Consider the following 27,289-nt stretch of genomic DNA (forward strand, 5'->3'; position numbering starts at 1 on the left):
CATTTACATTAGGTATATCTCCTAATGCTATCCCTCCCCCAACCATCCCACAACAGGCCCCAGTGTGTGATGTTCCCCTTCCTGTGTCCAAGTGTTTTCATTGTTCAATTCCTACCTATGAGTGAGAACATGCGGTGTTTGGTTTTTTGTCCTTGGGATAGTTTACTGAGAGTGATGGTTTCCAGCTTCTTTCTTCCCTTCATTCTTCTTCCTAGCTTCCATCTTTCCCCCTAGACAAAAATGAATATCTCATTGAATTATATTTTAAACAAGGAATAATTTTGAAAGTTGATTCATAGGCAAAATAATGTAAAAATGATCCTTGAAAGTCCTTCAAATCATTTGCAAAGTATCATACTCATTCATCGTGAGCAGAAGAGTGAGATGTTCACATTTCATGTGGGAAACAGGACTGCAAAGATTTCCAAACTTTATTTCATAGGAATATTGTTTGGAATTGACTGAATTGTGGAAATATTATCTTTTTCTCCCGCTCTCTCCTTCTGAGCATATATATAGTTAAAATCAGATAAACTAACCATGTTTGTGTCAACCTTTATAGTGAATACGAAAAGCATGCTTATAAGTGCAGCAGACACTCATTCCAATCCCCCAGGTACCCCTTTGCTATCACTGGAAGTGGACACCAATTATACATTCGATATTCTCATTCACAAAATGGCAATATAATAATACGTAATTTTGCGGTTCTTTTAAGGTTAAAAAAGAAAATGCCTACAAAGTCTTTAAACAGTACTCAGTTTACAGCAAGTGCTCAATAAATAGTAGCTGTTCTTATTACTAGATCCAGCTTACAAGTGACAAGATTAGCATTAAATGGATTCATTTCTTGAATGTGATATTTTGTGTCCTAAAACCAAAACATGTTTTTTTTAAATAAAAAGCAGAATTTAATTATAGAAATCAATGGGAAAATTAATCCCAGTTGCAGAAACAGGTTTGAATATCAAAAGCACACATACAAGCCAATGTGAATTGAATTGTAATGTTTTTTGCAGTTTTCACTTTTCCTGTTGATCCTTAAAATGGGTATTTCTCAGGGTTCTTGTCAGGAATTCATCCATCTCCTCAAGTAGTGTCTTCTAATCTCATGTCTTCAGCTACTACATGGCTGACATTTCCCCAAAGTATGTCTATGGCCTAGGTATCACACTTCCGTATAGCCAAGTCTACTCAACATTGCCATTTAAAAATCTTACCAACATCTTATTCTATTTTCTTATTTATCTAAACCATTTTACTGCCTTCTCTATTAAACTACTATGAAATTTTGGAAGAAATACTCATAAAACAAAATAAAAATAGGATATCTTCTCCATCAATTGTCTTCTGTGTCATTTTTCATTCAACATTTATTGAGCAACTTTCTCATCACTGCAGTTGGCTTTGAGGCACAGAGTTAAAGAGAACATGGTATCTCTCCAAATGCCCATCTACTTGGATTGATTCCTATTAGTCACAATTTTAAAGCCTTTTTTTTTTTCACTTCAATCTCAATGGCTAGTCATATCCACTAACTGGAATTTAATTTCACATTCACTTACTATTCCTGCTTGTTTCCATTATTGTTTTATTTATGTTATAGGATATAAGGGTTAAAAGGAATTGTAGATAATCTACTCTGATTTCCTCAATTTACAGATGCTAATGGAGCTTCATATAACTTGAGACTTTTTCCTTTGTCAAGCAGCTATAATAAATCCTCTGTTAGAATCTGTTTGATAGGAAAAAAGTATGTAAAATTTAGTTAATATTCCTGATTATCTCTGAGAAGTATTAAATGTTTTCTCTTGTTTAGTCCTAGTTTTTGTTAGATTCTTAGATTCTTGAAGACAGAAACTCTACCTTATTACTGTTATTTTCCAGGTTATGTTTGAGTGCATGGCTTGGAGTAGTAATTTAGCAATTATGGGATTAATTTTTATCAATTGACTGCCAAAATCAAAACCAAATAACATATTGACCTTTTTATAATATGAGCTTCCAGGAAGAACAGTGAAGAAAGATCATTAGAAGATTGAAACATTTCTGATGTGTTTTAAGTGTCTTGCAAATACATGTTTTTTTGCTCCCCCGTTCAATCAGCACATCTATTTTCAATCCTCATTTCCCGTTAATGATTGGACCAGACACCCTCATTAGACATTTTAAAAAATAGAACTTGTATGTAGCCTTCTTCAAGATTAGCATCTTCCTCAAAGTCTTCTTACTCTGGGCTTTTTTTTTTTTTTAATACTTGCCGGTTTATGGTACAAATATTTGCTAGCTTATTTCTCTTCTTTTTAAATCTTGTCTGGGACACTGATATTTTAATGGTTACTGTTGTTTACCAATATAAACAAGATTGTGTTTGAGAAAAAGATAAGCGTTCAATTTGGTTATTGGGTTTTTGCATTTTCTGGTGTCCTGCCTTGGTAAATTTGCAGAGTCTTCAGTTGGCCTCGTCAATTTCTACACATTTCCACTGTCGTAGTCATATAGGTCATGCCCTTATGCTAAATCCCTGACTCATTTGCAATCAAAACTCTCTTGATTGCACCCTAGGTGTTATATTAAGACACCCTTTCATTTAGTCATTCTTATACATTTGAGGCAGAAAGTTGGAAATATTTGTATTAATCTCCTGCAGAATGATGTTTATGCTGTGACATCACTCTAACTCTCTACTGGCATCATTTGTACAGAAAATTATTTTTAATCCATAGTGCATCTGACTTATAATACTTCACAGTTTGGCATTTTGAAAGGTGTTTCCTTTGAATATTTTTTTCACATCTAGTTCATAAGAAGCCATCATGCACTCTTAAAAATTTCTAGGATGATGATTATTTTTCATTCTAACCAATTTTACTTAATTGTGTCTTCTCTTTTTCAATTTATTTATGTTATTTGTTTATATCCATTCATTTGTGGTAGAGGTTGACATAATGCTAAGATCATTTGTTAGGATACCATATGAATTATCATAGTTTGAAGATCATGGTTGAGTTAGCTTTTTCTTATAGTGAACACATTCCTACAGCCAGGCTGAGACTGTAATTTAGTCTACCATCTCCTGGGTGTATAAAAGTGGCTTAAACTAGGAGATGGCGAGAAAAAATGGATTAGTAGTTTGTTGTTGCTGATATAAAGTAGATGTTAATAGTCACTAGCTTGTAATTTCAAAAGGTAAAATTATTATGGGAGAACAAATAGAACAATGAAACTCTAATGCTGACCCCAAAACAGTACATTTAACTGGCTTTACAATAAATAGAATTACTAGTATAAATAGCAAATCTTGCATGTTGTTTGATTAATGAGAGAACATTTTTTCATACCTTTGAGAAGGAAATACTGAATCATTGACGGAAACTTGAAAAAAGTGTTTCAGCAGTTACAATCATTTACGAAAAACTTTTAAGTTACGCTAATGAAAAGAATGTATGGAAACAAATATGGAAAAATTATGACACTAAAAATATAATCGCTGACATGTGAATATACTTAATTAGGGCAAAACAGAAGTCCGAAATTAAGGAAAAGCAAAAATCGTTATACTCTTTTTCTTTTTGAGTCTTGCTCTGTCACTAGGCTGGAATGCAGTGGCACAGTCTCAGCTCACCGCAACATCCAACTCCCTGGTTCAAGCTATTCACCCACCACACCCTCCTGAGTAGCTGGGATTACAGGCACACACCACCACGCCCAGCTAATTTTTGTATTTTTAGTAGAGATGGGGTTTCACCATGTTGGCCAGGATGGTCTCGATCTCCTGACCTCGTGATCCGCCCGCCTCGGGCTCCCAAACTGCTGGGATTACAGGCGTGAGCCACCGCGCCCGGCCTTATACTCTTTTTTTTTTTTTTAGATGTTTGAGGCAATGACTAATATGCATTTTTATTCATTCATTAATAAATATCAAATGCCATCATCCTATATATCATCTCATTTGCAAAGCAATTTTCACATGTGTTTCTCTTTATAGTAATGTCCTTTGAGGATTGATGGCAACTAAGGAGCTTTGCCAGTTAAATATTCCTAAATGTGGAAGGAATCTGCAAAGTAAATGCAAATGTTTATTTCCCTTTCTCTTATTAAAAATGAATTATCAAGGCCCAGCATGTCTTCTTGTAGTAGAGTGATAGAGGAATTATTCAGAAAGTATTGTCAGTGCTCATATGTAACCTTGAATTCTTAGCATCCTATTTAATACTGTAGTATGAAAATATGCCATAATATCATAGCACATTCTATAGAAAACCACACATAAATAGAACTAGTAAAAAGCAATAATGTTGAAAGCTATATTATTTTGTACTTACAAAGTGAACTTTTTTATAAGTTGAAACAACAAGCCAATAAAATTAGCCATCGAAGATCCCAAACTAAGTGTGAACAGGAGTTGCTGTCTGTAATTATTTATGTTTTGTTGGAGATATAAGAAATCTCAAAGCTTGGCCCTGCTTCAAAGGAAAGAATATTGGTTAGGTAGGAAAGAGGTAGGGGGTAGTCTTGGAACTGTTAAGGAAACATTTATGTGAAAAAACACTTAATGATGTTTTAATAAAAGCTAAAGGATATACAGTGTGCTGGATTTTGTGTGCAAAACTTTCATTTTGTTCCAGTTAAATACTGAGTTCTAATGTACAGAAGTGAGAAATTCAGTGGCGAATCCAAAAAGAAAAGAAAAGAAAACAAACAGACTTCTCTTCATTCTGAAGTGCCAAGGCAGCCATCCAAGTGGTAGAAGATCTTAGGTGCCATATGTGCTGTTCTTCCTATGGGGATGACATTTTAAACTTAACTGAAATGACTGGGCTTATTTGAATTCTGCTGGATTCTTTTCACTTCATCTCAACATGGGATGGCTCTTCTCAGTAGAATATATTCTTAGAAGAATCCACACTTACTGAAAAAGGAGGCATATCATGGCCAGTGTCCTTTCATGTCATGCAGTTCCCATCATGGAACACAACTCAGGGTCACAGTGTAGATATGGCAATGTGAGGCATATTTGGAGGGTCTGCATCTGAGCACCAATTTCCCTCTCTCCCCATTTACACATCTTCTTTCTGTCTCAAGGGTACCAAAGGATTATTTGTTGCTTTTCAGATAAACCTTGCTATTTGCTTCCACACTGAATAGAGATTACAGTCCCCTCCAGCCCTTTAAAAGTCCAGCACACCAAGCTTTGCCATATGTGAGCAATCTACAGGCACTATTAGCCCCGCTTGAGTAGCTCTTGATAACATTCTCTAGGAAGTCAATTAAAGATGTCAGGAGGTGGGCTGGACTGCTTTTCTTTTACTAACAGGCATTCAGAGAGTGGAAGATGGAACTGTCAGAAACAGGTGATTTTGGGTTGTCAAGAAACTAAGGCTCCTGATTTGTTTTGTCTTTTCCCCTCATTATTTCAACTTTTTTTCTTTCTGTGAGCTCTTTTAGTTTTTAACCAGCAATAGCTATATAATAGGGAGGACAAAGCACCTAGTGTAATAAATGACAATAACATTTGCTTAGTGTAAGTTTAAAATATAAAGAGAGATAAAGTCTTAGAAATTTGAGCGTAGCGAAAATTTCTATTAAGGAGTTACTTTTTGTGTTAAAATGCCTATATATAAATACAAGTTAAATGGTTATTCACTAAGAATTGGTCATAAAACTTGATCGGTATTATATTAGAGTGATTCTCTGCCCTTGCTTCCCATACAACAGGGATCACTTTCTTTTGCTACAAATCTCGACCCTTTTATTTTATGTGCTTTCACTGAGAAAGACTATCCAAAGAAGTAAATGACTAGATTTTATTCTAAATTAATATGAAGCAAAGTGTCACAACTATTTATCTAAGCTAATGAATTTAAGTGTTTAAACCAGATTATTCTGTCCTCCTAAGTATTATTTTGTTCGGTCAAAATAGTATTTGTTAAATATTATATTAATTTAATATTTGTTAAATTAAAGTAATAATAGAGAAATAGACATTTTATTGTTTGAGCTACAACCTAGTTATATGTTTATATACTAATCAGGACAATTATCACTGTGGGCAAATAAATACTTTATAAGAGACTATATATAACTTTAAATATCTCTATTTGATTATGCAAAACCATGATAATGAATGAACCTTGCTCTTTGCCAGGTATGTGCTAAATGCCAAAAAACTATTTCACTTAATCCTCATCGCCGCCTTAGATAAGAGGCGCCATTATCCCCATTTCACAGATGAAGAAACAAAAAATTAGAGAGGGTAAATAACTTGCTCCAAATGGCATAGCTGTTAAGCAACAATACCAGGACTCAAACAAAAGGCTTTCAATCACCAAAACATGTGGGCATAACCTCCAGAGGGCAAAGAATAGCTGAAGACGCAAGATTCTGTTTGTACTTGCAATTGCAGAAAATATAACCTATAAGAATTATGTGACTCTGAGAAGTTAACTGTCTCCAAGATGGTAACATACAGTTTTGAATGTTTTAATAACGGTGAATGAGGAGACAGAAAAGATTGAGGCTGGCTAGAAGGTTTGGGTTTGTTGGAAGAAGAAGCTGGCTTAAATTTTTCTTAAAAAGTGAAGACCAGTCCTGAGGGTTTCCGCATACCTATTAGGAAAAGGTGCCATAGTTGGTTATACAGAAGAAGAATGTAACACTGATCAGCAATTCACTCACCATCAGCTTTTGTTCTCCAGTTTTTGTTTTTCTTTTTTTTTTTTATGAAAAAAAGGCAATTGTACAGAATCAAGCTCATATTAGGGATTTATTCAAAGAAGCAAGTGTCATCATGAATTTTGAATTAAAAATAGATTTAGCTTAATGTTCAAAATCACCATCTCACAGCATGGCATAATAACTGATTATAATGAAGACCTTAGTTACAAAGCTAAATTATTTTTAGTATACTTTGATTATTAGGTTAAGGAATTGTAAAATATGCCTGTTATATCTTATTTCATCACAATATTTTTAAAGTATAAGATCTAGAATAAAAAATTGTCTATTTTCAAATCCTGGCCACTTTTATTAACTAGATGAACTTGACATCTTGGAACTTCTGTCTTTTCATTTATAAACCTGCCCACCTCACAGGGTCATTGTGAGTATTCAATTGACCTTATAGACAAGAAATCTTGACCATTTAGTAGACACTGTTTTATTCCACCCCACTAGACAACTGCAATATTTTAAAATAAACATTCAGAACATGATCTTTAAAAGGTTATGGATGTGATAAGAAGTGATACAAGCTACTGGCTTTTTTCTGATCATTTGAATACATGAAATTTAGAAGTTAGTTTTTACCTTTGAAAATAAGAAACTACTAGCATTTCAAGATCATTCCACAGTGATACCTTCAATGCATATTACATTCCTTACTAAAGCAAGAGATAAGCAACTACCCATATATTGAGTAAACTCAACAATTAGACCAATATAAGGAACTTTCTACTAAAGTTGCATATGTAATAATTAACTATATCCGGTTTAGTAATGACAAGAATTGAAATTCGTTATTCATCTGTTTATTCAATGAACATTTATTGCGCACCTACTGTGTGCTAAGGATACCATTCTAGACTCTGGAAATACAACAGCAAGCAAAATGAACTTGGTTCCTGCCTTTGTGGAGCTAGCTTACATTTTATTAAAAGCAGATAGATAACGAACACAAACAAGAATACTTTTACACAGTAATATGTGATATTCAGGGGAGAAAACAGAGGAATATGATATGTGTGATCTTGCTGCTTCTTTAGTTTGGGTAGTCCTAACAGGGGAAACTGAAGAAGTGATAAGTAAACTGAGATTTGACTAAAAGAACAGGAGAGGTGTAGGAAGTCATGGGGAGAATAACAATTCACAGGCCAACTAAATAATGTAGAAACAAGACCCAAGGAAGTAACTGGCCTTGCTAGAAGAAGAAAAAGGCCAGCATGGTTGGGAAGGAAGGGAGCAGAAGGGGTAGATACTACGAGATGAGAGGTCATATCTCTTGAACCTTGTAGGCCAGGATAAGGATTTTCACTTTTTTCTAAATGTGATGGGGGTGGTGGAGTGGGTGGGGGGGTCCTTCGGAGAATTTTATGTAAAAAGATGTTAACATTTATTTTTATAATTTTGAAGAGGTTCCTCTGTCTGCTGCAGGAAGAATTGACTGTAGTGTGGACAGGAGTAAGAGTAAGATTGTTGAGTTGGCTGCTGTGTACTCTGAGAGATGTTGGTGACTCAGACAAAATGACAGGGGCGGAAGTCAGGAAAATCGGGTGGATTCTGAATAAGTTTCACAGTCATTGGAGCTTACGAATGGTCAGGATGGTGTGAGTGTGTTCATGGGTGACAGAAATGGAGGAGTAATAATAATTCCTTGAGCGATTCATAGAAGATGATACCATGTACAAAGACAGGGAAGATTGCGGAAATAAAGACTTGTATGGCGAAAACCATGAATTCCATTTTGGTAATGTTGAGTTACTCTTAGACATTCAAGACACTGTCAAGCAGGCAGGTGGACACAAGACTGAAGTTCCAGAGTAGCTCAGGCTGGAGGCATGCATTTTGGGATCATCAGCATGGAGGCAGAACCAGCAGGGGTTCACTCAGAAGAATGTGTGGCTGGAACACTCCGTTTTAAGTACTGACGATTTTTTAAGGGCAGGAAGCTTTTGGCAAAGTAGATGGATGAGTAATGGCTAGTTGGAAGGAAATTAAGAAAAGTATTCCAGAAGACAAGGTAAAAAACACACATTTAAATTAGATGCATTTTAATGCAATGCTTTCGTGGTAATGATTTCATTATGTAGGAATTCAGGGGAGAATAAAAAAAAACTGTAGGAATTTTCCACATATTAACTCTTAGCAAATATATATCTAGCACTTATTATAGATAAGGTGCAATGGGAGAGAAACATGGAGTTATTATATCTGCATTGGAGATAATAGCTGATAGCTAATTTCCCATATTTTTTTCCATGGCCATCTGATTCTTCAGTCTTATAAGGTACTGATGTATTATGAAATGAAGGAAATTAATCACTATATTTTATTGAGCCATCCGCTGTTGTATGGAAGTCTTATTCGACCAAATATTTTAAATATTGAAAAGGAAATAATGGCTATATTAGTATACTTTTGTACCATTTTAAATGATTTTCAATTACTAATAAACACCATCTTTCATATGACTATTTTTTATAATTGAAAAAAACAACAACAACTGGGACTCTGTGGTAAAAAATAATATGTTTTTAGAACCTGCAATTTAATTATTGGGCTGCTTAATATTTGAGATCTATTGAAAATATAGAGTGAACTTTTTATTATGCAAATTTATTCAGTTCTAAAAATAACTAAATGATAATAAAACATTCTTTTTTCTTTACATCATATTACAGTAATGAAGCTGTTACCTCTCAGTATGCATTTTAATGAATTTTAACTAACATTTTAATGAGCCAACATTATTATAGATCCAAGGATTAGACAAAATTGAATTTACTGGTATTGAGAAAAGTTCACCAAGAGTTATATTGTTTAAAGATGGAATATAATACATTTTATGATAAACCATCAAGTATCCTGTATGAAAAATTGTGCTAATGGTTGAATAACATTATATTTATGCTATACATAGATATATTCTTCATCACACTTTAAAAACATTAATGATATTTTTGTTTTTGTATATTCAATCCATATGAAATATAAAAGACATAGCATATCAAAGAAAATAATATTTTATAATATTAGATTTTTAAAAAAAATTTTCTTTAAGGAAATCTCTATGAAGTATCATTATAAGTTTTTATTTTTTAAAGGAGGAATCATTTATAATTTTCTTGATGTACTTTTTTTTTTTTTGAGACAGAGTCTCTCTCTGTTGCCAGGCTGGAGTGCAGTGGCACTATCTTGGCTCACTGCAATCCTCTCCTCCTGGGTTCAAGCCATTCTCCTGCCGCAGCCTCCCATATCTGGGATTACAGGCCCGTGCCACCACACCCAGCTAATTTTTGTATTTTTAGTAGAGACGGGGTTTCACCATGTTGGCCAGGATGGTGTCTATCTTCTGACCTCAGGTGATCCACCTGCCTCGGCCTCTCAAAGTGCTGGGATTACAGGCGTGAGCCACCACGCCTGGCCTGATTTACTTACATGAAATAGATTTATACACTCACAACTTATAATTTGAGAGAGAAAAATAACTTTTTATAAAATTGATAATTTTGGGTAATAATTGATATTTTAGGTTCTATAGAAGATGTATTAATAACTGTAAGCCGCTCTCAACTAAAACACAGTTAGTAATACTTGCTCCTTCCTTTAGAACCTCCTCACTCAATATTCTGTTGAGGCACTGAAAGGACCTAAGTCTCAAATCAAAAGGTTGTCATCGAATTCGTCTTTATGTCTCTTGTGCCTAGCTCGCAATAGGCCTTCAGTTAATGTTAAATGAAAAGAAATGTCCTTCTCAATAGCAAAGTTTGTGAATTTTTAGTCTATCTTTGAAAAAAACTCATTAGTTGAATTGTACACTTTGATCAGGCTCAAGTTAAGGCCATGCTTACTAGCATCCTACAGATATTTTATTGACATTTACATTTCAAAGCACCTAATTGTGGAAAATTGCCATTTGTGTCACTGAATGACTCTTGTAAGAAACCATGTTTCTATACTCTCTTCGCAACTCTTTGTGTTGAATCCAGTTGGGAAAGACAGTATAATTTGAAAACACTCCGTCAATATACTTTTTCTTTATACATTGAATTTATACATTGGTAAACATACGTATTAATAAGTAGTTAATACATTTACAGGGTTTTAAAGAAGTATAAAGTAGATGCAGGGAAGTCTTCCTCCCTTATTCTTTACTTTCCAGTATTTTTTTTTTCCTGCAAGTGCATTTGTTATTATTAGTTTCTTGTGTGTTCTTTCAGAGATTGTTTTATGTGCATGCAAGCACATTCCAGCATGTTTCTTTTCCTTTTCTAATTAATTAAAGCATACAATGCATATTCCAAACCCAGCTCTGAAACTCGCTCCTCCAAAAAGCCTTCCTTATGAAAACAAAGTTTCCTCCATTTTACCTTACGGCATTTTAAGTATACTTGTCCCCAATAATTCATACTTTCATCTTTCAGTTTGTGGTTTTTGAGTTAGGTATGGTAACTTTCCTAAATCTCTTTAGCACCATGAGGGGACCATCTTTCATTGAAATATCTTGTACTCCTAAAGTGTGCTATATAGAGACTGGAACAACATGTGCAGTACATACTTGAATTTAAAAAGTGGGTGATTGAGAAATAAAACTCTTCTGTTACCTCACAGAGGTAGTCTCAACAACTAGAGCTGGTTGAAAAGTGAAAAACAAATATCTAAGTTTGTTATCAATTAAACAGAGCAAAATTAAAGGTCATATTAAAATCAACTTTTAAAATGAACTAGGTAAAACTCACTGGGCAAAATTTATACTTTTAGATTGGGAAGAACCATGGATATTAGTACTGTATAACATAAAATAGTACCTCTAAATGTGTTTGTTTTTAGAATTATATTATATATAAATCCCTACTCGCTTATTCATAGCGATGATCGCTTTTAGCAATTGCATAGTAATTGATTGACCCCAAGACATTAAGGCCTGAAAAATTTTATATATGGGACAGGGTTATTGAAGATTATTATTATTATTGTTATTATTATTATTAGTTTTCTTGAGACAGAGTATCACTCTGTTGCCCAGACTGGAGTGCAGTGGTGCAATCATGTTTCACTGCAGCCTTGACCACCTGGGCTCAAGCAATCCTCCCACCTCAGCCTCCAAAGTAGCTGTGACTACAGGCGCACACCATTACGCCTGGCTAATTTTTGTATTTTTGGTGGGGATGGGGTTTCACCATGTTGCCCAAAATGGTCTCGAACTCCTGAGCTCAAGGGATCCCCCGACCTCGTGGCCTGTCAAAGTGCTGGGATTATAGGCGTCAGCCACCATGCCTGTCCTCTTGAAGATCATTAACTATTTGATAGTCAAAGGAATTAAAAATTGACAGCCATTAAACTCATTGAAGATCAGATGCAGAAGTAAAATTCAAAGTCTTTCTTGTTTACTATACTACTTCTAATTCCTAATAACAGTGATTCTTTTATGAACTACTTCCTTTACTTTTCACTGTACTTTACAAAGATCATTTGTTCAGGCTTCATAACAAACCAAAGACAAAGGCTTTTTTTAAACCTTCATTTTACAGATGAAAAAGCTGAAGCTAAAATGGCTGAAGGACCTGTAATAATTTAATAATAAAAGTAGATAATCATCTGGATAATAAAAGTAGCAGAACAGAGACAACCGAGGCCATCTGACTAAGCCCATTATCTTTACCACAGTGCTGTGTTGCCTTCCTGCCAAATAGTAGTAGCTCCATAAACACTTGTTAAATGGGAGTTCCAAGTCCCTAAGAGGAACTGGCATATGGTGGAGGGGATTTCGAGTGCATTCCAGAAATAGAGAACAAACTGTGTTTAGGCCCTAAAAAAAGAAAAGAGCGTGTTACATTTCAGGACCTGAAGAAAGGCCTGAGGAAATGTGGGTTGAATATTATGATTGAAGTGACAAAGAAGAGGCTGTAGAGACAATTTTAGAGGCTAGACTACTTAGAGTTACAGGGGGAGGAAGGGGACTATTCAGCCTGAATTTCCTGGAACTGTCCTGCAATAATTATTAATAGTACTTCCTTAGGATTTCAAAAGTGTTAGTTTGGAAGGTAAAATAGAAAGTTATCCAATTCTTAGGTAATGTTGAAGATTTTTTTTTAATTTCAGAATGAATGAATGCATTTCCTCCTTTGCTACTTGGGATATTAGAAGGAAAATGAAAAGTCTGTTAGTCCATACTTCATATCCAGCACTTTTATCAACTGAGAGCAACTTCAGTGATTGGTTCTCCAGTGATATATTGAAGACATTTGTCATAAGGCCCTAGCCCTCTAAAGCAAAGGTCTTTCCTTTAACTAAATATGGGGAAAATATGTCAAGGGCAGTATTAAACATGTGCATTAGAAATTACTGAATCTGTATATAACATTTGAGTATTTAGTATCCACTAATTTATTTCAAAAATTATCCCATTTGCCAACTTCAGATTTTTTGGTTGTTGTTGCTGACACTTTAGACAACTTGCCCTACATTCACAACAGCCGTAATTTGTTCATCAAGAGTACCGAGAAAACAAGGTTCTAATTTTACTATTTGTAGACAGTTTTTAGAGGGAGTAAGGTTAATATGGTGCATGAAAAAAGCCAAAAAGAGATTAAGGCAGTTTGTGAATTTTAGTAATATGGCATAATGAAGTGCCTCGATCATGTCAAAATAATGGAGGTTTCGTAGACTTTCTGGTAAATCTTATTTATCAAGTTTGGTACCATCCCAGGGAGAGAAACTCAAACCATCTCATGCAGCTAAGTAAGTAGTAACTACAATGTAGAGATTTGCTTCCTCTCTGCACAGAAAGGAAATGGCTATGATTATTTTTTATCTCCAAGCATTCTGAGAATGAAAGTGTAGTAAGTCCTCAGGCTAGGAGAAACAGGGTAGCCCAGGGAATAGATATATAGCTAGAGACTCAGAAGGCAGTACTATTTGTTTTCTTACTGCTGAGCACATACTCTATGGATGGTCAAGGTGACTCCAGTGTGTATCAGAGGAAAAGAAGGATTTTATTAAAACTCTACTGAAGAAGGCTTCTTTCCAGTTTCAGCTAAGATGTGAAGGTTTGATTAAAGCATCCATGAGTTTTAAAATATTTACATACTTTTGGGTAAAACACACATATAATTAATTCTCTTCATGAGAACTCAGTATTACTTATACCTTAAAAAGATACTCAGTATCTGTTGTTTGATATCAGTTTGTCTTTAGGAATGTAAGAAACTGTGCTTTTCATAAGTAAACAAACATCTTCAAGCACATTGTTCTCCAATCACTGTCAATGGTGTAATATGAGTTTTCTGAGATAATTTAAATTTGGTATTTAGGATATTTGCATGTATAAAAAGTACTTGGATATGCTCCTTGCTTCCTCTTCTCCTGCTGAACTGTCAGAAGATGGTGATGCTTTTGAAGATTTATGGTAGATGGGTAATGAGATTGCTGAATGTTAACTACTGCATTTGGAATTCATTTAGTAGCAAAAGAAAAGAAGGTTACTGGGATTGGGATAGAGTAGAAAAGTGATAGAGCTATTTTTAATCAGTGAATTTAAAAATCAATATGATACGTTCTGAATTAGGATACATTTCAAGTCTCTTGTCATGTAGTAATCAAGTAGAACATTTCTTGAAGAATATAGGATGTCAAATTGGATCTAATTCAGCAAAATTCATGATAGTGTAGTGCCCATATTTTGTGATGTGGACATATCAAATTTTAATATTGGAAGACTAAGGCTAAAAAATCCACAAGCATGTGGAATATGTTTTTAAAATTCAAAATTCGAATATAATCTATTCAGTTAGGCTTTGGTTTATGTTCTGGTGCAAAAGAGGAACATAAACCGTGTACTCTCAAACTGCTCATTTTTGAGTTTATGGATGATGATGTGATTCATGTGAACCCCCTATCTAGGACCTCCAATGGTTATGGTTACAAAATGTGTTGTTAAAATAGCTAAAATGATGGAAATGGTGAAATTAGCAGAATCAAGTTGTGAGCCCATAGATATAATTATATTTCTACTCTATTCGGAGATTTGTTGAGTTTCGGGTAGAGGGGAAAGAAAAGATAAAGCAACAATAGTGTTAAAGTAACTGGCAAAGAAGGTTGACCTTGACCTTCTTTTCCTTTCAACCCTCATTTCATCAGCAGGGGTGAGATTACTTTGAGACCCTGCCAATAGGTAATAAATAACACATAAATTCCAGGACACCCTTGCACTGTAGGGTGCCCTAATGTGTAATAATCCTTAGACTATTGAGTTTATAACTCATGACATCTGGCAGTTACTTGGCATTGTAATTCATGTTGATCATGCACATCAGAATACACAACAGTAGAGAAATATCGGAGCAATAACACGTTGATACCAGGAGAGGCTAGAATGACAAGAGATGCTGCTGAAACTGTGTACCTCTGTGAACTGTGCAGTGGAATGCTGTAAAAGCTAATATCTTCAGATAAGGACTAATAAGGTGGGAGGAGAGAGGCGATCTGTTGGGATCCAGAATAATGCAGCACATTAATATGTACTTGATAACACTCTTTATTTCCTTTATTCAAATGGACAACTATAGCTATAAGTCAGTAATGAATCCTGAAATTTGGATTTAAATATATACTTAGATATATTTTAATTTAAAAGTGCATGTAAACAAATGTATTGAATTCAAATTTTGTATAAATATATGTAAAAGAGATTTAATAATTTAATTTTTGTTTTCTTTGGTCTAATGGTAAGGGCTAAATGAGGAAGGAATGCAGAGAGTTAGAGAAAAATGAGAAGCAGTAGGGAAACCAGGCAGGCATTCTACAAAGCACCTGTAACACACCTACCTGGTACCTAGCAGCCTAACTACTTTGTCTGAAGACCCGAGGCCCATGGGACATGAACCAGACTGAAAAGCTAGAAGCAGACAGATGGTTATTTGTAATCATCCTGTAAATGTAAATTCTTTAAAACTGGTGGGCTTGCTGGCTTTATCATCTATCTGTCTGTATCTATCTATCTATCTATCTATCTATCTATCTATCTATCTATCATCTATCTATCTATTTATATATCTATACCCAAACCCAGATCTAAGAAAAGTAGGAGGCAGTATTATAACCTTAAAACAATCTGGTGTTTCCCCTTGTTACCATCTTAAAAAGCACTAATATAAAAAAAAAAAAGCCAGCCTGTGTAGTTCTTAATTTTAAGTTGACTGTATTATATCTTCTAATGCCCAAAGTTATAAGCATTGCTTTGAGCAAGCCAAGACAGTTTTGTCCGAACTGGGCAGGTGCTGAAAGACAGTTGCCTGTGGAGGAGAACAGAATGTGTTGGGAGCATGGTGAGATGGGTTTTTGTTCTGCAGCTGAGCAAGACATTGCCTTGAACATGTTTAGGTTAATACTAGCATTTCTAGAAACCATCCTCCTCACATGCTATGTTTGGACACAATCTCTAACTTGATCTGGTTTCTTTGAGCTTTCTGTGATTTCGGAGACAGCAATGCCACGTGAACAATTCTGTGGGCGATAGCTCTTTAAGGGAGAAAGAAAAGGAACTGATTAAACATTAATCAGCTTCAATCCACAGCTTCCTCATAAGCTAATGGATAGGCTATGCAGATCCCTGTCAAATATCACATGCTAGGCTTTGCCAAAAATAGGACTTCCAAGTGTTGAAGGCATGCCAACTGCTGGCTCTTTAACTGCAAACCAAAGCAAATGATTGCCAGAGACAGGCCTAGAGTCTGCCGTGGTCAGATGTCACCAGTTTGCAGTGCCACATGTGATCCAAGAGTTTATGAATGATCTCAACACTTGGTCCCCAAGGAGAACATATGCATTACAGAGGTTATGGATACAAATTACAGAGAGCGCGATGTTTCCATGCAATTTCTAAGAATCCTTCAGCAAGTTTTAAACATAAGTGGAAAACATTAAGGAAGACTTGGCACTCTTAGCAGGACTTCAAATTATATTGTGGGTGAGGACAGAACACGGCTAAAAAAAGGATTCAAGAATAAAGACTTGGCTAAGAAACTCGAAGCTGGCCATTCCTCCTGTGTGAATTATGTTTGTGTTTGTGTGTTTTATTCCCTGCAGAATACTAGACTTCACAAAATGCTATGACTTGAAAATGAACAAGTCACAGGGCATTCTTGTTTATTCAACATGCTCCAATTCCTACCGCTGGTTTATCTGGATCATTTGCTCAGTGAATGTGCCTGTGCACAGAATCTCATTGGAGGTGGGGGTGAGAGCTTCTCATTTTGGAGTTGTCAGCATGCTACAGGGTGCCAGAGTGTCAGCTTGCACAGCGGCCCCCGGATGTCTCCCCACTGAGTTCTTTCTTTCCCATTCCCCTTCTGTGCAGAAGAAACCACTTATGACTTATGCCCACATGTTCAGATGTTATTGTCTATTTAACTGGTGGCTAGCCTGCCCATCCTGACCATATTTTGTTCAATTGTACCAAATGTAATAAAGTAGTTTCTTGTGAATGACAATCTTTATCAGTTGTTTAGTCATTAAAACTTCAGAAAAATACAGAATTATTATGCGATGTCAGTGGGGAGCTTCTGGTTGAAAAAGGAAACTTACACTGGCTTAAATATAAAAGGAAACATACCTAGAAAGTCCAGAGTTAGCATAGTTTTCAGAATTAATTTGTCCAGCCATGTCCTTAAGAGCCCAGATTTTTTTACACTTTGTACATAGCTCCAGTTTCATCCTGAGGATCGGTCTCCCCCTGGGGTCAAAGCGTGGCTGCCACCTATAGCCATGTAGTCCAGGAAGAGATAGGGTGCTTTTTTCATGTGCAGAGTAGAAGTTCTGAGCTGCATGCTGGTTGGGGTTACACTCAGTCATTCCCTATGGTAACTGGTGGTGGTGGTGGTGGCAGTGGTGTTGGTAGGGCTAGGGGAATAATCTGTGGTAGTTTTATGAGTGACCATCATTGTTTTTTCTCTTAGTCCATTGGAATAATTTAATATGATATACCTATAATTTGTGCTACCAGTTTTTTTGGCTGACATAAATCTGTTCTATTCCTTGAGTCGTTGATTTCTGACCTTCTTGAACTGTCTGGCTTTTATTTTACAGATATATGAGTATGTAGATAGGCAAGCCAAGAGGATTCTATTTCTTAAATCCAAACAATTCAAATTGTTCTTCATAAATGACATTTTAAAATCAAATTCAAACACTGTGGTCTATTTTATATCATAAAAAAGGGGTGCAGCACACATCTTGAAGGAGAGCACATCAATTCAATCAACCAATCGACATTATTTGGTTAACTTTTCTGATACCCTTCAACTAGAGAGCTCTTTGGAGGGTTACCCAGTCCAGTTAAGTAGATAAGGAAAGACTTCAGATGAGTGAGTCCAAAGTTGACACTGAATGAACAGTATGTACTTCAGAAAGGCACAGGCAAAAGTAAGAGAACAAAGGGACAGCTAGGAGTTACTTGCAGGCAGAAAGACCATCATATGCCAACTTACAATGATAATTAGGTGTTCCTTCATATCCCTAGGGCATGGAGGTTACAGAAATGTCCCTGATGAGCCTGGAGATATATGCAGGGACCTGGTTCCAAACAACATTTGAAATCATATTAAGGAGAGAATTTTATCTTAAGAGCCATTAAAAAGTGTTAAAAAGGGAATTGACATGATCACATTTGCATTTTAGCTAACTCATAATAGCTACAATGGAAAGTTTAAAGGAGAAATTAGAGAAAAAGGTCAAATAGGATATTCTTACAGTAATTCAAGGAAGATATAAGGACATTCTGAACTAGGGCAGTGGAGAGAGGATGAATAGACCCAGATGATATTGCAAATCAGTGCAGCATAATGACTGTGTATAAATTCTAGTGTCAGACACACTGGGTTGAAACCCTGTGCTTACCTAACACAATAGATGAGGCTCCAATGACCTATTCTATATCCATGACGCTATCTTTGGCACATAGTATGTACTCACTAAATTTTAGCTATTATCATAGAACAAGTTATTTTAAAAATAGATTAAAAGTGTCATTATATGTGCCTGTTAATTAATTTTTAAAAGCAAGTCTAAAAAATTCTTACTGAAAATCAGCACATAATTACATATATTATATATATGGATAAGTAAAGGCTCCTGAGTATGCTTCTATTTATCATAATTTACTGAAACTGTATTCATAAACTAAAATGTATGTCATATAAGGAACTGCTTCGGGCTAGAGGTCGGTCTTCTACTGAGAAGTTTGGATGTCATTGTGCCACATAACTCCAGCAGTTCTGATACATACACAGAGAGAAAACCTGCCGGCAGGAAAGACTTGTGTTCAGTGTTGTTTGGGTCTCCTGCGGTTTTCAACTGCTGTTGGCCGTACCTTTCATTACAATTATTTCTTAGATTATCTTTCTCGTAATGTTTAGTTGGTTGTGGATGGTATTCTTTATTCAATGATGTGTGCCAATTCTTTTATCAGTAACATTTTAGGCTTTACCCTTCTAATAACTTTAGTTGGGATCATGTGCACATTGTGGTTTAGAAATGTATCTTTCAGAAGTCCATTAGTTATACAGTCTCACTTCATTGTCATTGCTAATTTGTTTTAATAAACTAAGATGGAAATGACTAAGTAGTGATTTGCCTAGACTGAGGTTAAAAAAAAATTCTAAGAACTATTGATTTAAGACAAAACAGAGAGGGTTTGGGGTGGGAAAGGATATGGGATTATAAGGAAGCAGGAGCCAAAGATATAAGCTCTAAAATCACAGCTGGACATAAAACTTTTTAAAGGCACTCTGTTAGTTACCTATTGCTTCATAACAAATTACTACAAAATTCAGTGGTGACTTGAGTCCTCAAGGGTTTTTGGACTGAGGGCCTTGGTTTCTTGCCAGCTGTTGGCTGGAAGCTGACTTCAGATCCTTGCCAAATGGGCTTCTCCATTCTGCAACATGGCACCGTGCATGATCAGAGAAAGTATATGAAAAGAGAGTAAGAGAGGAGTTCAGACTTTCCCTCTAAAGATTCAATAACTTAGTCTGCTGAAATACACTGACAATAGACATATTAACAGGAGAAAAAGGCTACATATTTACTATGCACACATGTGCATAGAAGCCACACAAAATATGAGACTGAAAGAAAGGTCAAATACTTGAAGCTTAATTATTCTCCTCATAGAGGAGAGGAAAGTGGGAGACACAGGCAATTTTAGAAGAATAAGTGATTTTTTTGAGGAGATGAATGGGCCTGAAGAACAAAGGGTGGCCTGGGACAACATTTCCCTGGGCTCTGGGTGCGGTGTCAACTCTGGTCTTTCCTCCTGCAGGATGCGCCAATTTCCCCTGGTTAATGAGATATCTGAGAAAGGAATTAATTGAATACCTTCTGGAGGACAGCATCTTTAGGTAGACAGGGGATCTTTAGAGAAAGCTCTTTCTTCCATTTGCTACTCACTGGGTGCTCTTAGTTTAAAGTCTGAAGTGGCGTATTTTGGGGTATCATTTTCTAAGCCACAATGAGAGAGAGAGAGAGAGGGCAAAAACATGAAGGTCACAATCTTTTATAAACTGATCTTGGAAGTGGCATCCTACCACTTTGTAACATTCTGTTCATCGAAGGTAAATCGCCAGGTCTAGTTCATGCTCAAGGGGAGGGGATATACAAAGGGAATAAATAACAGAAGGGAGTGACCATTGGAGAACAGAACAAGGGTCTATCACAGGCACTGTCATGTCATTCTTGTTAATCTATTTCTTAACCAGTTCATAGGAGAGTGTTTGTCACATTACAGCATTCAATACATACTTGCAGAATTTTAATTTGTCAAAAATCTCTATGTCGTAAGGTAGTAATTTAGAATGTTCCAATTTTCCAAAATAATTTCCTAAGTCATGGTGCATCCCAATGTAAAAAAACATGCAAATATAATTCAGGTTATATTATGACTAGCTAAGTGAACTATTTATATGTGTTTTCCAGCTCACATATGGAAGTGAATATTCGGGTTCTAGCCAATTACATATCCCCCCCACCTCACCCCATGGAGATTTGAAACCCTGTATTCTAACTTAGATCTGAAAGCAAGTTCTATATTAGAATGTACCTACCATATCCCTTTTCTTTTTAAATGAAGTTTTAAAAATTCTATTTTTATTTGACAAGCAATCGTATATATTATATATTTACTGGGTACAATGTACACCTGTTAGAAAAGCTGTTATCTGAAAGATGAAAGATAAATATTGGTAAGGGTGTTGAGAGAAGGGAACCCTTGTATATTTTGTTGGGGCTCAGAAACTGATACCCTGAAATATGTCACTGAAGCAGTGTCCTTCGTCTGGGGTAATACCCAAGGTTCGTTGCCTCGTGCCAAGGAAATCAAGGACATGGACACACAAGGACTGAGTTTAAGAACAGAGGTTTAATAGGCAAAGGAGAAACCCTCCCTTGTGCAGAGGGAGGGGTTCCGAGCGTATCTCCCAGGGTGCGACGAGATGCGGTTGGTTTTATAGATGAGCTTGAGGATGCGGTGTCTGATTCCCACAGGGTTTAGAGGATTGGTTGGGGCAGGTGTGTCATTTACACAGAGCGTGAAGAAGTTGGCCACCCCATCCCAACCTTTTATTATGCGGATGAGTTCTGTACCTGGTCGGCACGATGTTGCCTGCTTTTTTACTGCACCTGTGGCGGAAGAAAAAAATAATAATAAGAAGAAGAAGAAGATGGAGCCTCCGTGTTGAATAGACTTGGCTTCCAGGTATCCCTTTCTATCGGCACAGCTGCGGCATTCACCCGTGCAAGCTTCCGGCTTGCTTCTCTATGTCTGCAGTTCGATTTTACAAACTGCTCTTTTTTTTTTTTTTTTTTTTTTTTTTTTTTTTTTTTTGAGACAAAGTCTCGCTCTGTCGCCCAGGCTGGAGTGCATGAACTCGACTCACTGCAAGCTCCGCCTCCCGGGTTCCTGCCATTCTCCTGCCTCAGCCTCCCGAGTAGCTGGGACTACAGGCACCCGCCACTGCGCCAGGCTAATTTTTTTTGGTATTTTTAGTACAGACGGGGTTTCACCGTGTTAGCCAGAATGGTCTCGGTCTCCTGACCTCGTGATCCACCCACCTCGGCCTCCCAAAGTGGTGGGATTACAGGCGTGAGCCACCGCGCCTGGCTGCAGGCTGCTCTTTGTTAGAAATTATTTGGGGCTGTTTTTTGTTAAAAGGGAAGCCTCGCTGAGGACTTGTTTACCCTCACTATCTGCCTAAATAATTTCTAGCTCCTATAGCAGCACTTGGACATGCTGAACTGAAGAGGAAGCCTCAAGATCTCTCTGACCTTCCTTCCTCCAAACCCCCATCTCTCAATCCTCTGTGTCTCTTGAAGCACAGGATGAAGTTGTTCTCCAAAGTTTCTTACCTGCCTAAAGTCCGGACCTACCAAAGAAGAAAACCATTACCTCTGGCCCCTTCCCTGAATTTTCATGAGCTCAAATGATATCGCAGAAAGGAAGACTGAAGTTGGACAACAAACCTGGGCAAACTTTCGTCAAAAACCATCGTCCCCTTGTGAGCCGAAAAGACTTAGTCCCAGGCTATTGTATGTTCTTTAAGGTTATTGAATCCGCCTAAAAATTATCTATACTTCCCCATCTCCCTTTCCCCTAAGAAACGGAGTATATAAGCATTGGTATACCATAGCGGTGTTAGGCAATTACTCTGTGATTCTCCTCAGGGTACGCTAATAAATTTGTGTACCTTTTCTCCAATTAATCTGCTTTTTGTGAGTCGATTTTTCAGTGAAACATCAGAGGCAAAGGGGACGCTTTCCCTTGGCCCCTACAACTTGGTAGAAATGTAAATTAATACAGCCATTATGGAAACAGTATATCCTTTTTCTTTAAAACACAACTGCTGCTACCCTGTCATCGAATTTATTTCTCTTCATCATATTTAAAGACTTTTTGGAGAGTTAGGTAACACACACTGTGGTATGTGCTCTTCTTTTGACATACGTGTCAAGTCACACTTGAAAATATAGTTTTCAGTTCTTTCTAGGGTAGAGGATTTAGGGGGAATACACACACACACACACACACACACACACACACACTCAATTTAGAATTTAAAATTGCTTTGCTATTTTCTACATTTACCAGACCATTTTAGTTCTCTTAATCCGACACATGGGAATACTTCACCATGGCTAACACTTTCTTGTTTTTATCGGCTACGATAAAGAGCACAGGGCAAAATCCAAGGCAGAAATGAATAATTAGCACAAAAATGGGAACTGATAGATATTATTTTATTTTACTTTTCTTACATTTATGAATGTAAATACAGACCCCAGAAACATATAAACAAATATCAGAATATACATATCTTCCTTCAAAATTTGAGAAGAGTAAAAATGATTTTACTCCTTTTTCTAAAAATAAGTTCTAGGCTGCCTATGGTGGAACCTGCTGAAAAGCATGTTTTTCAACTGAGAGAGAGAGAGAGAAGAAACATATTATAATATCCTGAAGACTTAGGGTTAAATAAATGATATCACTAAACACAAATGGATTTACTGAGTACTATACAAACCCCAAAGAGCACATTACAAGTTGAAGAGGGTACAGTATCAATTATATCATTATCTCACCCTACTCTCTGGGTGAATAGTCTGAAAGCCTAAAATTACAGTTGATGTTAGATTTCTTGGCTTCATTTGCAAATTGGAGTCATTTTCCCCCTTTTTGTTGAATGCCATAAGCACATGTTTTATTGTTGAAGAGTACCAGTCCTTATAGTTTGTTATGATGTTTTTCTTCTTTTTGTCCTACATGTCAAAGGACCTTTAAAAAAAAATGGATTGTGGAAAATTGGTGTAACGTTGTATTTCTGAATGATTTGCAATGGTATTAGGTACTACTTGTGCTTAGGCTTTTTGGCATACCATTTTTTAGGAGAGCAGATCTGGAGAAGGCCCTTCAACTGGCCAGCTGTGCCATTTTGGAACAGATTGAGGGCCTGCAAAAACACCATTTGTTGCCAGTACCGGATATTGTAGGGGTGCTCATCACCCTGTTACCATATTTTTGCACTTCTTAACATTGCATAAATAGGCAGCTGTTCTGTATTTAGAATATAAATGAGTCACCAGCTTGCTCTCCCTGGAGGATTTACCTGCAAGAGGGAACCACGGTGTTAACCCCTTCTCATCAGTTGCATGAATGTCACATTTAAATGCACACTTTCCTCAGCCCACTCAGAAGCAAATCCTCATGCATATAAATCACACCTTTCTTGCCAGTTAGACAAGGGGGCCAAAAATATGCAGTTCACAGAGCTAAAATGGAACACATTTCTTTAGCAGTGAAATCAGTAAATTAATCAGCTTATAAACTGAGAGTGAGCAATTTGTGCTGAATTATTTCTTACTGCTCCTTCAATAAGAGACAAGGTGCTCTAATCTCATAAAGGGCCATGACTTCATTAAGATGGAAAACCATGTTAAAGGGTGTGTTGCAAAATACGAGAAAAGAAAAACCCTGAAGTCACTGAGTTGACTCTCTGGAGCTCTTTTAAGGACAGGGTTTTTTATTTATTTGGGGAATGACAATTAACCTACAGACTTGGCACAACAAAGAAGCAGAGTGCTGAAGTGGGTCTCATTATAGGACACGGAAGGCAGTTGGTTTGACCTAATCCCCAGTCGCGGCACATGATTTACATAACAGGCTACCACAAGCTGCCTAATGTTGATTTCAAACAGCTTGATGTGTGCATGTGTCTGTGGGTATGTGTGTGTGTGTGTGTGTGTGTGTGTGTGTGTGTGTGTAGGTTCATTTTACCTCAAGGTACTTTGGAACCAAACATGTCGGTGTTGGAATGTCCAAGAACAGAAATAGTAAAGCCAGTCAGGAAAAGCAGAGGCAGTTGCAGTATATGGTACATTTGCTGATCTCAACTACTTTTTTGAATGTTTACCCTAAAATTAATGTAGCTCTGATTTACCACCTAAATGCAGTCCGATAGGGCTGAGCCATCTCTCCAGGCTTTTCATCTTGTCAGGAGCAGAGAAGCACAAGTAGATAGATAGGTGACATTTGGAGAGGCAGGCATGCCAGATTTTCGGTGGTTACAGCGAAGGTCCAACCTGCTGTTCTCCTTAATGAAAGGAGGGAAATTTCAGACAGGCAAAACTGCTATAAGGGATATCTCTGCCCTGAATGTCACACTGCCCAGATGTCACTCGGCAGGTGGAGTTGCAGAATGAAAATGTAGCCCTGCGTATGTGGGTGCTAGTGTGCTGCAAGGGTGAACTATGAATCTGTCTTCTGAAGTGTAATGAAAACAGTGTGGATCTTGTCTATGTTTGTGTCATGAGAAAGGACTTTGTCAAAGAATTCTCACCCCACTTTCCCTCACAGATCATTAGGCTTGCAGGCTCACAAACCACATGCATATATATATGCGTGCACACACACACACACATATATGAGTTTCTATATAGAAAATAGAATTATACTAATGAAGGGTTCTGCACCTTGCTTTTTTAATTAATCGCAGAACTGTACATGAATATTTCTCATTTTTTTGACTGATTTCATTTTTAAAGTTGAATTTTTGACCAAAGGTGCATGATAATTTAGTCAGCCATTCTCCTGTTGATGATCATTTATGTTGGCTCCAGAATATTTTAAGGTGGATGTAGCTATGTTCTCAGTAAAAATCCAGGCAATTTTTACTAGAACAAGGTAAACAAGACTTGAAGTTACCTTGTACAACAAAAAGCCTAAGTTACTGTCGTTGAGTTTTCTTTTCCTGTAATTATTTTTCCTCAGTGTTACGAGATGACTTCCGACAAAACCCCACAGATGTTGTAGTGGCAGCTGGAGAGCCTGCAATCCTGGAGTGCCAGCCTCCCCGGGGACACCCAGAACCCACCATCTACTGGAAAAAAGACAAAGTTCGAATTGATGACAAGGAAGAAAGAATAAGTGTGAGTTAAATTAAAATCATGGCCCAGAGAGATTGAATTTTCAGTCTCAAAATACAAAATAGATGTATTTTATTCTTTAACATTATTAATACAATTGTATTTGAATGTTAATTACAATTTATACTGCCTTGAAAAGATTTAAAAACATTTGGATGAGACTACAAGAGACAAAAATTATGTAAATCAAGTGTACATGAAATATTAATAATTGCACCAATCTGAGTTATATCTTTACACTGCAATATTGATATTTTAGCTCTTTTTTTTTTTTTTTTTTTTTTTGAGACAGAGTCTTGCTCTGTCACCCAGGCTGGAGTGCGATCCTGCTCACCGCAACCTCTGCCTCCCGGTTTCAAGTGATTCTTCTGCCTTAGCTTCCCAAGTAGCTGGGACTACAGGTGTGCGCCACCACGCCCAGCTATTTTTTGTATTTTTTGTAGAGATGGGGTTTCACCATGTTGGCCAGGATGGTCTCCATCTCTTGACCTCGTGATCCACCCACCTCAGCCCCCCAAAGTGCTTGGATTACAGGCGTGAGCCACCACACCCAGCTGATGTTTTAGCTCTTTTATAAAATCTCCAGAAGCTTCTGTTGATCATGCAGTACCTGAGTGTTAAAGTATAAATGATAGCCATAAACCACATTAACTACATCTAATTTTGCACCATTTTCAAAAATTATAAGAGAAATTAATTTAAGGTGATGAATATCTCAAATGCTTTTTCCAGTTTTTCCAATTGAATAATATTTATAACAGTAAAATTTTATACATGAATTGATTTAAAAGGAAATTGAATAGATGTAAAATAAAATGGAAATCAAAACAGCTGACTGATTCTGCATGTAGAAAAATAACTGTTTTCAAAGGAAATTTATAATCAGATTCATCAGTTGATTAAAATTCAAAATGAAACACACAGAAACAGGCAAATGGCATGTAATCATTTTATTTCTTCAGAGGATCCACGCAACATTTGTATGTGAAGTTTTTAAGTGAGAACCAACCCACAGAAATAGTATGTAATTGCTTAACTTTCTGATATTATTCAGTAGTATAATTTTTATATTCAATACAACTGAGAGTGAATACATTTAAGATAATTTCTCATTTGACTGAATAAATGTGCCATTTTAATAAAAAAACTATAAAGTATTGGTATCTATTATCTTAAAAATATGTTTATTACAAATGAGGATTTTTCCTCTGTGCACAGTGAGATTACAACATAAAACAGAACTAGATAGGCTGTGGAAGGGATGACAATGTATATTCATGCGTTTCTGGTATAGAGGCAAAGATATTTTTTCCCTTCACCCTCTAAAGGTTTAAGTCTTTTAGTCTGCTGAAATAAACTGGCAATAGACAGTTTAATGGAAGGAAGAGCATACAAATGTATTTATATGTAAGTGCAAGGGAATCACACAAAGTATAAAACTCAAAGAAAGGCTAGATGGTTGAAGCTTAATTACCCTCTTCATAGGATAGAGGGAAGTGGGAATAGTAGGTGATTTTAGAGGAAGATTAAATGATTTTCAGAGAAGATAAGTGGGCCCAACAAATAGACAAAGTTCCTCTGGCCTCTGGGAGAGGTGGTGACA

The 27,289-nt window shown here is 36.4% G+C and overlaps 1 protein-coding gene across 41 annotated transcripts in view, besides 1 other annotated feature; it reads left to right on the forward strand.

The window, feature by feature from the left end:
• ROBO2 (roundabout guidance receptor 2) overlaps positions 1–27,289 on the forward strand; it is a 1,743,290-nt gene that overhangs the window by 1,545,208 nt on the left and 170,793 nt on the right. For all 41 annotated transcript variants that reach the window (NM_001378191.1, NM_001378195.1, NM_001378196.1 and 38 more), the window contains one exon: positions 25,532–25,689. In NM_001378191.1, coding sequence (NP_001365120.1) covers positions 25,532–25,689 — 158 coding nt within the window. The remainder of the gene's footprint in view (positions 1–25,531; positions 25,690–27,289) is intronic.
• Positions 23,514–24,037: an enhancer, noted in NCBI's record as "OCT4-NANOG hESC enhancer chr3:77524547-77525070 (GRCh37/hg19 assembly coordinates)". NCBI's record gives its function as "activates a minimal SCP1, AML or CMV promoter by ChIP-STARR-seq in primed H9 embryonic stem cells {active_cell/tissue: H9 hESC(primed)}" and the evidence as "EXISTENCE:reporter gene assay evidence [ECO:0000049][PMID:30033119]".

This window comes from Homo sapiens, chromosome 3 (assembly GCF_000001405.40).
Source record: "Homo sapiens chromosome 3, GRCh38.p14 Primary Assembly".
Classification (NCBI taxonomy): domain Eukaryota; kingdom Metazoa; phylum Chordata; class Mammalia; order Primates; family Hominidae; genus Homo; species Homo sapiens.